Source organism: Homo sapiens, chromosome 3 (assembly GCF_000001405.40).
Source record: "Homo sapiens chromosome 3, GRCh38.p14 Primary Assembly".
In the NCBI taxonomy this organism is placed as follows: domain Eukaryota; kingdom Metazoa; phylum Chordata; class Mammalia; order Primates; family Hominidae; genus Homo; species Homo sapiens.
The window spans coordinates 18046556-18064027 of record NC_000003.12 but is presented as its reverse complement, the minus strand read 5'-3'; the positions used below and the strand labels follow the sequence as shown (position 1 = coordinate 18064027).

At 38.0% G+C, this 17472-nt stretch overlaps 1 long non-coding RNA gene across 1 annotated transcript in view, besides 1 other annotated feature; it reads right to left on the bottom strand.

The window, feature by feature from the left end:
- BALR6 (B-cell acute lymphoblastic leukemia associated long RNA 6) overlaps nt 1–17472 on the bottom strand; it is a 306371-nt gene that overhangs the window by 204895 nt on the left and 84004 nt on the right. The window lies entirely within an intron of this gene.
- Nucleotides 16676–16849: a silencer, noted in NCBI's record as "fragment chr3:18088671-18088844 (GRCh37/hg19 assembly coordinates)". NCBI's record gives its function as "represses an EF-1alpha promoter that drives an FKBP-Casp9 reporter gene in an ReSE screen in phorbol 12-myristate 13-acetate-treated (for megakaryocytic differentiation) K562 erythroleukemia cells {active_cell/tissue: K562(+PMA)}" and the evidence as "EXISTENCE:reporter gene assay evidence [ECO:0000049][PMID:32094911]".

Below are 17472 nucleotides of genomic sequence, written 5' to 3'. Positions count from 1 at the left end.
TGTGAGTTGAGTGTCTTTACTAGGTGGCTCTCTTCCATACAGTAATCCAAGGATCTCATCTCAAGGCTCTGCTATTTCAACACACAGCCACAGACTCTGCCAAAGTGGAAAAGATAAATGGATGAGGTACACTGGCTTTTACTTTTGCCTAGAAGCTTGTCACTTCCATTCAAAGTCCATTGGCCAAAACTAGTCACATGGTTCCAATCTAACAGCAAAGGAGGCTGGGAACTGTTGGTGAGCACATGCGTATTTTGTGAGTGCAAATCACCTCTCACAACCCTATTCCTCCTTCAAGCCCCAGCTCAAAGATCACCTCCTCTGTGAAGGCTTGCATAGCTTCTCTTGCCTTCTTCCGAGGAGAACAAATTGCTTCGTCTTTTATGTTTCCACAGTGCTTTGATATATATCTCTGATTTAGGCTTCTCAGACTGCCTTGTAGTTTTGCTCTTCTATTATTTTGTGATCCCTGCAAAGGGGAAAAGCATGCTTGTTTCTTTTTCTAACCCCCATCACAGTGCCAGGGAAGTAACTAGGATTTAATAAATGTTTAGTGAATGATTGAATAAATGAATGAATGATGGCTTCATAAATAGATATAATCTTGTGAATTTCCTGCCATGTCTAATCATTGGGTGTGCAATCAACATCTCCAAGAAGCCATCCTTGACTCTTCTGATGTGGAAATGCTCCTTGACTACATTTCTCCTTCTGGGAATGGCAAGAAACCAAAGTCAGAGAAATAGCAGATAACAGTAAAACCCAGGATCAGGAGCCTTGAATTAGTACAGCAGGACTCAGATGCCAAACACAGGTCAGGAATAAAAACTGGACCTCTGGGCATTAACACACTCTCCAGGCTGTCTGCGCTGCTTCCCACTCCCCCACCAAATACATAGTGTGCCCAGCTCAAAGCCCCTAGGGCAGCTGGCACTTCCAAGCGTACCATCCAAAACTTCATAAGAAGACATGAGCTGAGCTGAGCTGATCCCCGACTGGCAAGAATAAATGAAGAAACTGGAGATTTCTCAGCTGAGGAGCCTTTGAGAAAAGGAAAAATTTAAGCTTCCTAAAATTCATCACTCTTGCCATATGCTGTGACTTTTCCATTCATACCAGCAATTGTGGGAATTTCAGCTTCTGAATATAACATTGAGAAATTAACTAAGAGTTTATAAATAAGTCCTGACTCAGAGCAGAGCCCTTGTTAACGTTCTTGAAGCCTGTGGGATCTAATGCCCCAGCCAAGGCCCTTGGAGAGTCCCCGCCAGAAAAGAGGCCCTCCTGCCCTTCCGTGACCTTGTTACTGCCCACCTTGCCCTTCCTATGATATCAGAGCTGGTACTCTCCAGAACTCTCAGCTTGTCCCAAAAGTCAAAATAGATCGTACCAAGACAATAGCTGGGAGAAGGATGTAGAAGATGGGAATGTGAGAAGTAGAATCAAAAGTTAAAAGCAGAGGATAGTGCTTTGTGCTCTGGCCAAAGCAGGGCCACCCCCAGCATGTGTGGGGCCTCTGACTAAGCAATTTGAGTCACCCAGAATTCCTGTGTCAGCACCATTCTGGCAGCCTGGCCTCACCTGACCCTGCAAAAGACATACCACACCCTCTAGTATCAGCAATCATCTTGCCAGGGTCCTCTCCTAGAACCAGGCCCCCAGACAATCCCATAGGCACAAATCCTAGAGCTTCTCAGGGCATCTGGTCAACCACACATGGGAGTTAGAGGCACAGAGCCTTAAAGGGAGATATAGGAATCAGGCTCTGCTTTAGATACAGCCATCCAGTCCAGATTACATAATTCTCTAGACTGGCTACATGCTGTAATTGGGAGGCCCAGTGCAAAATGAAAGGGTAGGACTTATTTTAAAATGATCTGAAATTCCAAGGAAGTGGCAGCAGAGTATTAAACTCATGGGGCTCTTCTTAGCATGGGGCTCTGTGTGACTGCACAGGTTGCAGCTCATCAAGCCAGCCTTGACTGTTGGCCTTGGTTGGTTCCAGGCACTAGAGAAGGACTTAGAAAATGTCAAGGAAGGCACCACAAAGTGTTGGCCCCCTGAAACACAGGAACTGGGATGAGGTCATGCTTGTCTGACTCCAGTGAAATACTGGGCCAAGATTATAGAGATAAGGTGCAATATTCAAAGTGATTTACCACTATTTGTCCCCAAATCCCCAGATGTCAGGGAACTCATGATAGAAAATGACTAAGAACTTCATAATGCACTTACCCAGTAGAGTAATACACAGCCACCAAAAAACAATGTTTACAAGAGACTTCTAATAATATAGGGTAGAATTATTGCAATATAAAGTCAAGTGAATTAAATATAGTCACAATTATGTAAATATGTATGCATTTGAAAGAATACTAGTTTAAAATAGAGTATAATTTCAACAGTGGGTAATCCTGGGTGGAAATATTACAGGTGAGGTTTATTATCTTCTTTATATATTTCTACTTTCAAATTTTCTCCAATGAACAAAAATGAATTTTATGAGGAAAATAAAATTTCAAAGACATTAATGAAATATAGCTTCAAATTATAACTATGTATGGTACCTAAAGACATCTTCTGATGAGGCCTAGAAAAATTTTATTATGAAGTTTTATTACTGAAATATATGCTATTTAGAGTGTTCTTTCATTTCTAAATGGTAAGAAACATACATTATTTAAAATTTTTTAACTATTTAATGTTACTTTAAATAATACTAATTTTTATAAGCCATTTTTATATAATAATATTAAACACTAAAGGAAAAATCATATTTTGAGCACTTGGCAAGCCAATTTACCTAATGTCAACCTATCCTCCTCTGTCCCTTGAAGGGGGTCATATCGCTATTGTAAATGTAAAAACTATTGTCATCGAGAGTAGTTGAGGACCTGGAAGACAGGTATTTACACACACATGTAGCAGAGCAAAAATTTACATAATCTGAGGCATACTAAAATTATAGTTTTCTCTGTTTTTTCTATATCTGACCTTTATTTCCTCATGAGCTCCTTCACCCCATTTCCATAAAATTATTTTATGAGAGAAAAAGGGGAAGCTGATTTTGCCAGTTGGAGACTATTCAGTCTCCACTAGTTTAATACAGTCCATTTCAGATTTGCTCAGTATAAACTCAAATTTTTAATACCTTTACTTACAAAAGCTCAGTTAAGAAAAATAAAAGACAAGGAGAATTTCTTGACGATAATAGGAATATTGATTCCTCTAGATTCTACAAACCAAATCTTTGGATTAAGCAGATGTCAGTTAAGCTGGAGATGTTGTTCTGAAATACTATCAAGAGTTTTTGCTGCCTTTGCCTTGCTATTACTCCATTAACCTCTTTGAAGGAAGGCATAAGAAACAACTCTAAATGAGATTTATTTGGTTAATGTAGGGACAGTGAGAACCAGAGGTCAATTAGGAAATCAAAGATACATTTCTCTTGGGTATCTACCTGAAATAATTAATTTGTTTTGTCATATGAATACATTGACCATAGAAAGGATCACATTTTTTTCTCTTTGCTTTGGCTGCTAGGAAACTCAGAAACAAATGTATAGGTCAGCTTTAATAAGCGCAAATTTTATGCCATGCATTTTAGTTCACTAACTTTACATTTAATTTCAACTGCCTTTTCATTCCCTTATTTTTTTTAGCCTGAACTTTCTTCACTATTTAGTTTTTACCTGCCATCCTTTGTAAACCACTTCAAAATTGTTTTGAAACCATGAATCTCCCCTTGAATATCCAGCACTGTCACAGTCACAACAGCGCTCTACCTTAAAGGTTTCTCTTGTACATACTGCTATTGAAAGTTGTTTCATAAATGATGTCTTTCCCACTGGACTGTACTCCTTCAGAGCATAGGCTATGTCTTACTATGTGGCATCTGGCACATAATAAGCAGTTTTTAAATGTTTGCTTGACAGCATGAATGCAAGGGTGGGAGAATGCTTTAAAGATGATTGAAAAAATTGTTGTATTTGTTGCACATGACAGTTTGCTTTAAAATATTGTGATAATCTGTTATCATAAGATAGCTGTATAAAAATGGGATGAAATTTTAACATCAGATTTTTCAGTGCTACCCACAAAGTCTTGTTCTGCAAAATGATTGGCTGTAAACATGTTTGACGATCTTCATTCATTGTGAACGCAAACATGTATCTCCATGAGGCAGGTCCCATTGAATCTGCTGTCAACTTGAAGATCTTTCCTTCAAGTCACAAAGTCTTTAAGCAAAATGCTTTAGTGTTTGAGTTAGCACAAAACAAGCAAATCTTTTCTATGGGGAAGCTAGCTCAGTCTAAAAAATTATACTGAGAAACCCCTTAGTGACTGTGAAAGCCATCACCTCGGTAAGACCTAAATCCACAGCTTCTGTGCCCCCTAGGCTTTGTAATGGTTTCTAAACACCACAATAATAGTCGATGTCTTAGACTTTCATAATACTTTATAACCTCCCAAACTTTTACCAGGTACCTAATAATACAAAAATGAGAGCCATTTGTAAACACCACCATATGTCAGGCACTAGGTTGAGCACTTTACATACATTTATCAGGGAAAACATTGAAATTAATAATCACCCCTTCTCCCACCTGCAATGGAGAGTAGATTCCCAGGACCCTCTTTATATGCTGAGAGAAGATGATGGGTGAGGTTGCAAATGAGGAAGCTGATACAGAGCTAAATCACTCCCTGGAAGAAAAGGGGCAGAAAGTTCCAGGGGACTGTATAGGAAGGTGGTGGAGCTCAACCAGCCAAGGAGACAAGAAAGAATTCAGAAAGATGGTCTGAAGTAAGAAGAGAGGTGAGACCTGGAGAAGGATGTAGCAGCTGCCATAAGGAAATAGAAGAAATGCTTAAATGTGACAATTAAAATGTTTTGTGGTGCAATGTGCAACGTAGTCCCTTCTAAGAACTCTGCATAAAAAACAAAATGTGTGAGGAGTCTCAATACAAAAACCCAAGTGAGGTGTGTGAAAGGGATATGAATATGAAAACATGCCCAGGTTATATAGATTCACTGTTGAATTTATCTCTTCGTAAGATTCATTACTCTAGACCTGGTATCAGCAACCTACAGATAGCCTGTGGGCCAAATCTGGCCAGCCTGGTTTTGCAAACAAAGTTTTACTGGAATGCAGCCATTCCTATTCATTTTAATTATTGGCAGTGACTTATTGTTGCTACAATGACTGAGGTGAGTGGTTGTGACCGAGGTAGTTGTCTTACTTACTATCTGGCTCTTTACAGAAAGTTTGCCAACCTCTGCTCTCAATTTCCAAATAAGAAATATAGAAGGATCAGTGAAAGGGAAAATATTTTATCAATTAGGTTAATGATGTTGGAGAAATTTTAGTCTGCAAACCTGATTTTAAGATAAATTCACTGTTTCCTTGGCCAAGTTTTTCTATCTGTAAAATGGTATTAGTAATACACACTTCACAGAGTTATTGCGAGACTCAAATGTGAAATTATTTTTTAAACATGCTTTGCAATTCATAAACCTTAGAGAAATGTCAGGCATTGCTGATAATGGCTTAAAGTGGTTACTTTGTAAATAATAAACTCTATAGAAGCTTCAGGTTCTCTCAGAGAGAGAGAGAGATCCCTGGACAGGAAGTGGCTGAATAAAGGGCTTTGTCTTTCTACTGGACTTACAAGTACACTACTTTTTGCCTTAAAAGTTGTTATCAACAGTTTAGTTTGAAATTGTCCTCTGTGGGCACTTCTCATTTTCTTGAAGTCCATCACCTATGAAGTTCAATTCACACACAGGAATTTCACCAGACTAAGGAATAAATATGAAGAGGTAATATGACTATAAAGAAAACTATATGTGCCAGCAATGAAAATGAAGCCATCGTAGTGACTTAAGCATGAGAAGACTAATACTGTTTCAGTCTTTCAATGAATAAATAGTGTTCATAAAATTCTAATTTTTTTTAACTTTTGGAGTTTAACTTCTAGGTTGTGTGAGACAATGGTATTTGAAAGCAAACCCATAAATGCTTTTAAGACAACTAGAATATATCTCTGCATAACTGCCATCCATCATGACATGAGGCTCAGATGATCAGTTTATTCCTTCAGTCTCATGAAGGCTAACTGCCTTAAGTTCTATTGTGAAATACAACTGTGTTGCATCAACAAAGTCTTTAACGTGCTCCTATAAAAGATGATAGATCAAGTTAACAAGTGGGCAAGCAATTGATCCACCTTTCTCCAAATGACATTTAAGGGCTTATTTATTAGTTTTAGGATAGCTAAAATAGATAATTATACACTTCCACATAACCATCCATCTTCCCTGTTGCCCATTTGCTCCTGAAAGATACAACAGTCTCCTTGTTGATTTGTCATTGATGAAATCCATTTCAGTAAATTTCATCCAAGTAGAGGTTAAAATGTTATGCACTGCACTCTTCTGGTTGAGAGCATAAAATTTTCATCTCATAACTGATACAGACTTCAATTTGCCAGCCATCTAGCCGTCATCATTGCAATTATAGTTGCCATGTTTTTGTTACTGGGCTTGGAAAGAGAATAAATTGCACATTGTGGATTTGTCCTTAACTACTTTAATAAATTTATTTTTAAATGGTATTCAGAGACTACCTAGCGTATCTTTGATCTAAGGCATAAAAGATAAAAATTGTACAATACAAAGGGAACCCCATTGGACTAACAGACTTCTCAGCAGAAATCTTACAAGCCAGGAGAGACTGGGGGCTTATTTTCAGCATTCTTAAAGAAAAGAAATTCCAATGAAGAATTTCATATCTCACCAAACTACACTTCAAAAGTGAAGGAAAAGTAAAATTATATCCAGGTAAGTGATCACTAAGGGATTCACTACCACTAGATCAACCATATAGGAGATCCTCAAGAGAGTTCTAAACATGGAAATGAAAGAATGATACCTGCTACCACAAAAACACACTTAAGTGCACACTTCACAGACCCTATAAAGCAACCACACAATAGAAACTACAAAGCAACCAACTAACTTCATGACAGGATCAAAATCTTACATATCCATATTAACTTTAATATAAATTCCCCCCTTAAAAATCACAGTGTGGGCCAGGCGCAGCGGCTAATGCCTGTAATCCCACAACTTTGGGAGGCCAAGGCAGGTGGATCGTGAGGTCAGGAGATCGAGACCATCCTGGCTAACATGGTGAAACCCCGTCTCTACTAAAAATACAAAAAATTAGCTGGGCATGGTGGCGGGCACCTGTAGTCCCAAGCTACTTGAGAGGCTGAGGCAGGAGAATGGCGTGAACCCGGGAGGTGGAGGTTGCAGTGAGCCGAGACCATGCCACTGCACTCCAGCCTGGGTGACAGAGCGAGACTCCGTCTCAAAAAAAAAAAAAAATCACAGTGTCGCAAGGTGGATAAAAACAAACAAGACCCATCTGTCTGCTGTCTTCAAGAGATCAATCTCTCACATGTAATGACACACACAGGCACAAAGTAAAGGGTTGAAGAAAGATCTATCACACAAACAGAACACACAAAAAAGCAGGGGTCACTATTCTTATATCACATAAAACAGAGTTTAAACCAATAACAGTAAAAAGGACAAAGGGAATTACATAACAATAAAGGGTTCAATTCAACAAGAAGGCTTAACTATCCTAAATATATAAATAAACACACAACACCAGAGCATCCAGATTCATAAGCACTTCTAGACCTCTGTTAGTTCAATGTACACAAATCAATAAATGTGATACTTCACATAAACAGAATTAAAAAAACAAAAACCATATGATCACCACTATAGATGAGGAAAAAGCTTTTGGTGAAATCCAACATCCCTTCATGTTAAAAGCCCTCAGCAAACTAGGCATCAAAGGAATATACCTCAACATAATAACCATTTATGACAAAGCCATAGCCAGTGTCATAATGAATGGGTAAAAACTGAAAGCATTTCCCTTGAGAATTGGAACAAGACAAGGATATCCACACTCACCACTCCTATTCAACATAGTACAGGAAGTCCTTTCCAGAGCAATAAGGCAAGAGAAAGAAATAAAAGACATCCAAATAGGAAAAGAAGTAAAATTCTCTCTCTTTACTGGCGATATGATTCTATACCTAAAGAACCCTAAAGATTCCACCAAAAGTCCCCTGGAACTGATAAAAATCAGTAGCATTTTTATACATCAATAATATTCAAGCCAAGAGCCAAATCAAGAATGCAATCCCATTTACAATAGACACACACACACACACACACACACACACACAAACTAGGTATACGTATACCCAAGGAAGTGAAAGATCTCTACAAGGAAAACTACAAAACACTGCTAAAATAAAACAGAGATGACAGGAACAAATGGAATAGCATTCCATGCTCACAGTTTGGAAGAATCAATATTGTTAAAATGGCCATACTGCTCAATGAAATCTACAGATTCAATGCTATCCCTGTCAAGCTACCAACATCGTTTTCCACAGAACTAGAAAAAAAAAAATTCTAAAATTCGTATGGAACCCAAACAGAGCCCAAATAACCAAAGCAATCCTAAGCAAAAAGAAAGAAGCCAGAGGTATCCCATTACCCAACTTCAAACTATCCTATAATGTTACAGTAACCCAAACAGCATGATACTGGTACAAAAACAGACGCAGACCAATGGAACAGAATGGAGAACCCAGAAATCAAGCTGCACACCTACAGCCATCTGATCATCAACAAAGTTGATGAAAATAAGCAATGGGGAAAGGACTCCCTTTAAATGGTGCTTGGATTGCCTGCTACCTATATGCAGAAGAATAAAACTGGACCCCTTACTTTTCACCATAGACAAAAATTAAATCAAGATGGATTAAAGATTTAGATGTAAGACTTCAAACTATAATAATCATAGAAGAAAACCTAGGAAACACCATTCTGGACATTGGTCTTGGGAAAGAATTTATGATTAAGTCCTCAAAAGCAATTATAGCAAAAAGAAAAATTGACAAGTGGACCTAATTAAACTAAAGCACTTCTGCACAACAACAAAAAAGCTATCAACAGAGTAAACAGACAAACTACAGAATAACAGGAAATATTCACAAACTATGCATCAGACAAAGGTCAAATATTCAGAATCTATAAGGGACTCAAACAAATCAAAAGCAAAAACCAAACAACCTACTAAAAAATGGGTGAAGGACATGAACAGACACTTCTCAAAAGAAGACATATATGTGGCCAACAAGTATATGAAACAATGCTCAATATCAGTAATCATTAGGGAAATGCAAATCAAAACCACAATGAGATGCCCAAAACCACAATGAGACGCCATCTTACAACAGGCAGAATGGCTATTATTAAAAAATCAAAAAATAACAGATGCTGGTGAGGTTGCAGAGAAAAGGGAAGGCTTATACATCGCTAGAGGCAATGTAAATTAGTCCAGCCACTGTGGAAAGCAATCTGGAGATTTCTCAAAGAACTTAAAACGGAGGAACCATTTGACCCAGCAATCCCGTTACTGGGTATATATCCAAAAACAATCATTCTACCAAAACCACACATGCACTCATATGTTCATCACAGTATTATTCACAATAGCAAAGACATGGAGTCAACCCAGATGCCCATCAATGGTAGATTTTAAAATGTGATACATGTTATGCAACCATAAGAAAGAATGCAATCATGTCCTTTGTAGCAACACAAATGCAACTGGATGCTATTATCTTAAGTGAATTAATACAGGAACATGTATGTATTTGTAACTTACTTTCTGAGCTTTGTCATGCTTTTTGTATGTTCCTATATTAATGTACCACATGTTCTCATTTATAAGTAAGTGGGAGCTAAACAATGGGTACTCATGGACATAAAGATGGCAACAATAGACACTAGGGACTACTAGAGGGAATAGGGAGAGATGAGGACAAAAGCTGAAAAACTAACTATTGGCTACTATGCTCAGTACTCGGGTGACAGATTCACTTGTACCCCAAACCTCAGCATCATGCAATATGCCTAGGTAACAAACCTTCACATGTACTCCTTGAATATAAAAGTTGAAATTATTAAAAAAAACATGCATTTTAAAAAGTACAATAAATTTATGATGAATCTATATTTATAATGACAACTGTTCCTTCATATCTCAGAATTATCTTTTCTCAGGGAAATCTTTCAAGTGGAGACATTTGAATCATTTTTTAAAACTCGAAATAATCTTTTAGCACAATGAATGGTAGTTCCCAAACATGGCTGCCCATCTGAATAATCTGAGAACTACTAAAGATTCAGATTTCTAAATTCACTTGAACCAACCAAATCAAAATCTCTGGGGGAGTTGGACACCAGTCATTTTTATTTTTAATGAAGACCCCAGGGGCTCTTCTCAGCCAGTTTAACACAAGTCTGAGAACTGCTTTGGACAGCACCTGGTTCAAACAACACTAAATGACACATCTTTGTTCCAGAAGACTGACCTTGTACTGCTGAAGAAAGACAGCACATGTTGAACATGGACAGTTCAAGGGAATGACAAAGCTCAGACAGCAAGTTACAAATGAATCCATGACACCACTATGGATGAATATATAATTACATTAAAGTACATAAAAGATCAAAATAAAACAAGAGACGACTCCTGGTCTTGGGTAGTATGATTTACTATATAAAGATGTCAATTCTCTCCAAATGCAATTCCAATTGTTATTCTAAAATGTATCTTAAGGCCAGGTGCAGTGGTTCACGCGTGCAATCCCAAGCACTTTGAGAGGGCAAGGCAGTCTCAATTTGCAATCTCAAAGTGCAATCCCAGCACTTTGAGAGGGCAAGGCAGGTGGATCACCTGAGGTCAGAAGTTCGAGACTAGCCTGGCCAACATGGTGAAACCCTGTCTCTGCCAAAAATACAAAAATTATCCAGGCGTAGTGGCAGGCACCTGTAATCCCAGCTCCTCAGGAGGCTGACGCAGGAGAATTGCTTAAACCCAGGAGGCAGAGGTTGCAGTGATCTGAGATCGTGGCACTGCACTCCAGCCTGGGCAACAGAGTGAGACTCCATCTCAAAAAAAATACATAAAGAAAATAAAATTTATATTAAACACTGTTCATGAATAGCTAAGTCAACTTTGAAAATTAAGAGAAAAAGTAGGAGAGGGGTGCACTGACCCTACCAAATATTAAGACATATAATAAAAACATAATAATTGAGAGTAATATGGTACTGGTACAATAACAGACAAAGCTCTATGGAAAAGAATAGAGAATTAAGGGTATGAATTCAAGTAAGAAAATGATGGACAAAGTTAATAGACACATGACAGGCCAGGTATGGTGGCACACTCCTGTAATCCCAGCACTTTGGGAGGCCAAGGCAGGTAGATCACCTGAGATCAGGAGTTCAAGACCAGCCTGGGCAACATGTTGAAACCCCGTCTCTACTAAATACATAAATTAGCTGGGCGTGGTGGCAGGAGCCTGTAATGCACCATTTATATGCAGCAGTTACAATCAACAGGCATATGTGTACAGAGCTACATGTAAAGATATTAAAAACACAGTGTTGAACATAAAAGGAAAAAGTGAATAAGGTCTATAACACAATACCATACATGTAAAACTTAAAATCGATGTTTTAAAACAACGATACACATTTTGTAAGAACATATAGAAATAAAAGGATACACATCAATGATTTTAATGTCGTTGAGGGAAATGGGGAAATGGCAATAATTAGGAAGGAAGGATGGGAAGGACCTTGCACTACAAATGATGATAGTATGCTATGAAATGTGAAATATGAATAAATGAATTATCTGAATCTGATGGTGAAGAAAGAGAAATATATATGTGTATAGAAATCCTAAGCAACTGAGATCCTTTGTGAGGGTCTTTGCATCTGAAATTCTTATTAAACCAAAGCAGTTGCAAATAAAGGTAAATGTTAGTTTTAGCAAATACACATGGTATGTAAGATCACCCAGGCCTGTAAATCCCTTCCACCTTGACCACTGCATTCACTGAGAAGGCCCAGGAATTGTCTCATATTCCTTGCCCAGTGGCCTTAGAGCTGGAACCTTATCTTTCATCCCTCTGTTTGTCTGTGAATAAATATATACATTATTCTTGTTCTTTTAATTCTGTAACCTCTTCAGAGCAGTTAAAAATTATGTTAAAAACTCATTAACTTTGACGAGATATTGATGATGCCAGCGGTTAATTACGAGCCAGCTGGTGTTATGGCAAGAATTAAAAAGTTAAACGTTGGAAGTTTTTCTCTTTTTTTGTTTTTTAAAAGCCACACTGCATTCATATGGGGGATTGTCGAGACAGCATCACTCGCTGATGACTTTACAACACAGGTCAACAAGAGATCTGTGGACGAACAGATGAAATTGCATCCCCTTTACTCCATTACAGTACTGGCATCTTCCAGATTCTCCCTTGCTGAGAAAATAAAAAGTAAGGGCTATAAATTCCCATGCTTCATGGTGTTAACTGATTGCAAGCTGAGGTCAGAAAGACATTTCTCCCCAAGGAGTACTCCTGCACAATTTAGAGGCACTGTGGGGGTTCTAACATGCCTAAAAAGCATTAAGCAGTGGTCATTGTCAAGTACCAAGTAGCAAAATTTAGTATGCTTTCGGTTTGTGCTCACAAGGGAAGCCTGAAAGTGTTGAAGGGTCCCCACCTCCTCAAAAGTGAGAGCATTTTATAAACCTGTTACCCAATGAGGTGTTTCCTTTAGTAACCAATAAGGTATATTTTTTGAAAGAGAAAACAGATTTTAAGGCATAGTCATGGTTTTTTAAAAAGAAGGAAAATAAACTAAAAGAAAAAGTCTACCTTTTAATGTATAAATAAAAAGAGTATAGGATGGGTCATATAAAACAAGGATTTAGGGTGCTGATTCTGGGGTTCATCAAACCTCTCTTAAGCAGGAAAGTAGCCTGACTTTACTGAAACTATATAAGCCCCTCAGTCTCATTTGTAATATGGGCATTGTATTTGTACCTGTGTCATCAACTTTGTAATGATTAAATGAGATGACCCACATAGAATACTTAGTACCATCTGGGGAGTGCAGGAAACACATAAGAAAGATTCATTATTTATTTCCCAGGTAAGCAGTAGAATGCAGGACCTGGAATCAAACTGCAGCAGTTCACTTCCTGGCTTTGCCTCCTATTTCCAATGGCACTGGGTGACTTAGAGGGCCTTGTTAAGCTCAACCTCCTTATCAATAAAATGGGAGCAATAGAGTATGTATCACATAGTATCATATTAGGATTAAATGAAATAATCCATATAAAGCATTAGAGTATTTTGCACCTAGTGATCCCTCCCTAATGTTAGCTATTACTTATTGTTATTGTCATGTCTATTACTATTAATACTGTTGCTATATGAATAACCCTTTATTGATGCTAGTGGTAGCCAGTAGGAATCAACAAACTTCGTGGCACTTTGTAACGCACATAGAAAGATGCATGAAAATAGAGATATAAAATCACTCTCTCCAAAGCCCTGAAAGGGGTCGGAGCAGAATGTGAACACCTATTTTTAGAACCTTTGGTTCCTACTCCTCTGTTTAAGAACCTATATCTACAGCCTTCTCCCACCCAAGCCTCATCTTGTGGGGATGATGGGCAGCCTGTGAGCTGTGCTGAGTGGTTTTCCCACTAATTACCACTGCCTTCTCCTCCCCAACCCATCTGCAGCTTGCATTTCCCCTAGCCACGGATGGCCCAGTGTGCCGCTCCCTAGCTGAGAACCTAATGGTGGATCAGGCCATTATCATCTCTCACCCATCAGTGAATAATCATTATTGTTTACTCTCTTCTCTTTTTATGACGAGCACAGTTACCAAGACGGTTTTCTTTTCTTGTTTCCCATGAGGCTCTTTATTTTATAGACCTGCTCTCAACTTAGCACAGCTTTATTCTGTACAAGAAAACTACTCATCATTTAAGGATGTTCAACATAAAAAAGCTTTTCTTTTCTCCTGCAAATCAAAATGTTCAGCCCAAGCCTTACTGATCTTGACCCCCCTCACTTCTGTAAATACAAACCTTCCAAACTCATCTCAGAACATTTGCTTTTTTCTCTACCTATTCCATATGGCTTCTCTCTCCTAATGCTATTTCATTTTGAGAAACTGAAAGGAGGCGGGTTTGTGTGGGAAATGCCATGAAAAATGAAGCTTATTATATTGTAAATGCTAATTAGTTTGGAACAATGGGGCAAATACTTGCCCAAAAAATGCCTTTGTTTCCTTAGAGGTCATAGAAATTACCTTATCTTATTCTCCCACTGATGGCCTTTATATGCCTGAATAATTAAATACATTGAACCACAAACAATCTGTGTCTAAACTCAGAAATAAAAACAACCAATTACAGTTGGTTGAAAGATCATCCTAAATTCTTCCCAATTCTGTTCTCACTACGAATTTTTTGTATTTTCTGATTTTTTAAAATTGTGAGCATGTATGACTTTTACAATCAGAAAAAACCTTTTTAAAAACCCTTTATTAGTAAAGTTGAAAGAAGTAGACAGACAATCTCACTAAACCAATGCTCTGCTCTTCCCTGCTTTTCTGGATGTATTGGGGTGTGATTGCTAATAGCAGCGATGCCTGACTGTTTGTGTCATGGGCTGGATTTCGGAAAGCTTACAATGTAATCTCTCTGCCAAGAATCCAATATCACATTTTTAGCTTACTGTTTGGGGTCTCATGTTTTCGCACTCCAACTCTTGACTCATTGTATGTGTGTACGCACACTTTGTTCCAGACTGTCTGTCAGAAGAACACTTCTTCCTAAATGAAGAAAAGTGTTTCTGGTGAATGCCAAGATTATATGAGGAATCATAGTGCAGAGTTGCTATTTCTTTGTTCCTGCTGCTTAATTGCTTTAAAGACAAAAATCAAGGGCAAGTGTGCTACTAAAAAAACCTTTTGTAGGGCACCCACCACTTGTACCTTTCGAAAGATCACAAACTGCATTTTGCCAACTTTTGATCAAGGTGACAAATCTTGGCTCAGAAAAGAAATTTAGCGATGTGTCAGCCCATCAATAAGCTCTGAAGAAAAGTAATTCATTTTTAATGGAAATTGTGTTTACAAAATAGACTAGGTATATAACCAAACTCTAAGAGGAGATAACTCACCCTGGCAAATAGGCTGCATACCTAATAGAGTAAAATAAAAGTGAAGCAGAACACATTGTACTTACGAAAATTAAGTACATGCAACATTTTATAGTTACTACAACAGTAATTGTACATCATACAGAAGCTTTCATGTTCAGCCTTGATTTAGATTCAAGAAGCAGAAGATAAAAGTTGGGAAAGATGGAAAAGGAATGGAGTCATTATATTAAGTAAAATTTTATACTTATTTTTCAAAAATCTTTAGGCCAATACAAGCTCCTTTTAGTCCCTAGAATTTATTGGGTCTTTGCCAATTTCTAACCTCCACTGGTCTAACTACTCTTGTTCCTTAATAAGTGTTATTATTCCCATTATAGATATTATTAAGACATTTTCTAATTTCTTTTGTTTCTGTTCTTTAATCTGCATTTTACTATAATCCTATAAGCAAGTAGGGCAGAGCCAATTGGCAAATGCAAAAAACAAGGTACCAAGGAGCTCTGCTCCCTGCCTAAAAAGACTGGAATAATCCTTCTAACAACTCTGGGTACTCACTACCTCCATTTGCCAAAAGAAGAAACAGATGAATGATGCCACCATTTGACCTAATGAACTTTAGCTTTCCCAAATGTATTCAGTTTTTTACCACAAACTCAGAGCAAAGGGAATAAACAGAGTCCTTGGAAAAAAACACAAACAGAAGTCAAAGCCTTACTAATCTACAATAATTTTCAAGGCTGGAATAGCGAAAAGAGACATATATGCAGGATAACCAGTGAATATAATTGAGATCACCAAAAATGTTTGAAAATATTCCAAAGATTTAAGCAACAAGAACAAAAACAGAAAGAAATAAAAACTAAAAGAGTCAAAGCAGGAGTTTGAGGAAGGTAGATCTGAAATAAAAACCTATGGTGTTGAAAATAACACGATTATGAGTTTATGTCCTACTGGGGTCATTCATGCTCCAGCTCCTAGCTCCTAGCATATAATTGATGTTTAATCATTTTTGATGAAGAATTTAATGCATTAAGGTCCCCTCTCTCAGTGAATCTAGCTCTAGAAAAATAAAAAACATGAAAACAAATAATTGTTACAACATAATCTCGATAATAGCTATCAATTTTTGAGCACTCACCAGGCCTAAGATTCTTAAATGTATTAATTCACTAGTCACAATGATCCTATAAGATAGGCCATATTAACAGTCTCACTCTACAGATAAGTAAACTGAGGCAGAGAGTCACACAGATGGCAAGCTATAAAATTGGGATGAGAATCCAACATTGGTACCTGTTAGTACCACTTAGTGTAACAACACTCTGTGCTATAATGGGAGGATACTGTGTAAATCATGGCCACTGGCAGATTGAAAAAAACAAAGTCACAGTTATTCATTCCCCTGTCTTCATATTCTTCACAATTAACTTTGTATTTCCTCCCAGCAAGAGGTAGAATCTGTTTCCCCATCCAATGAATCTGGGCTGGCCTCATGACTTGCTATGGCCAATGAAATGTGATGAAAGTGACAGGTGTTTCAGTTCTAAGCCTAGGACCCAAGAGACCTTGCTTCTGTTCATTTTCTTGGGGCTCTGCCATTGCCATGCAGGCAAACCTGGGATAGCCTGCTGGATCATCATCACATGGAACATAACTGAGTCAGCTAATTAATCCCAGCTGAGGCCTAGAGATGTGAGAAAGTTTCTCCAAGATCAGCAAAGCCTCCTAGCTGACCGGCAGCTGATGGCAGATGCATGAAAGGGTACAGGTGAGATTAGAACTGCCCAGCTGAGTGCAGCCTAAAGGGCCAACCCATAGAAGCGGGAGCTAAATAGTTATTGTTTGAAGCCACTGTTTTAAGGTGGTCTGCTACACAGAAATAACTAAGTGATACATCCACTACATCAAAATCTGCTATGATCATGCTTAACTTTTTCAAAAGGCACATTAATGATCTGAGAGGGGAAATGTACCTTAGAATTGCCAAGATAAAAATATTTTTGGAAGGCCAATATGACAAACTGTTAAGGTCTTATGGCAGGACAATCTCAAAGACATAACCCAAATAAAGTGAGACAAGGGGCTGCATAGTTCCTGTTTAGTTATGTGGTAAACTGTTTCTAAAACTGTCCCCAGTAATCTTCAACTTCCCTTCAGAGTCTCCTACAAAGCTGCAATCAAGGTATCAGCTGGGTCTATTGCCTCATCTGAAAGTTCAACTAGGGGAGGATCGGTTTCCAAGCTCAATGTAACTGCTGGCAGGACCCAGTTTCTCAAGGATTGTTGGACTGAGGACCTTAGTTCCTCACTGGCCATTGGCGAGAG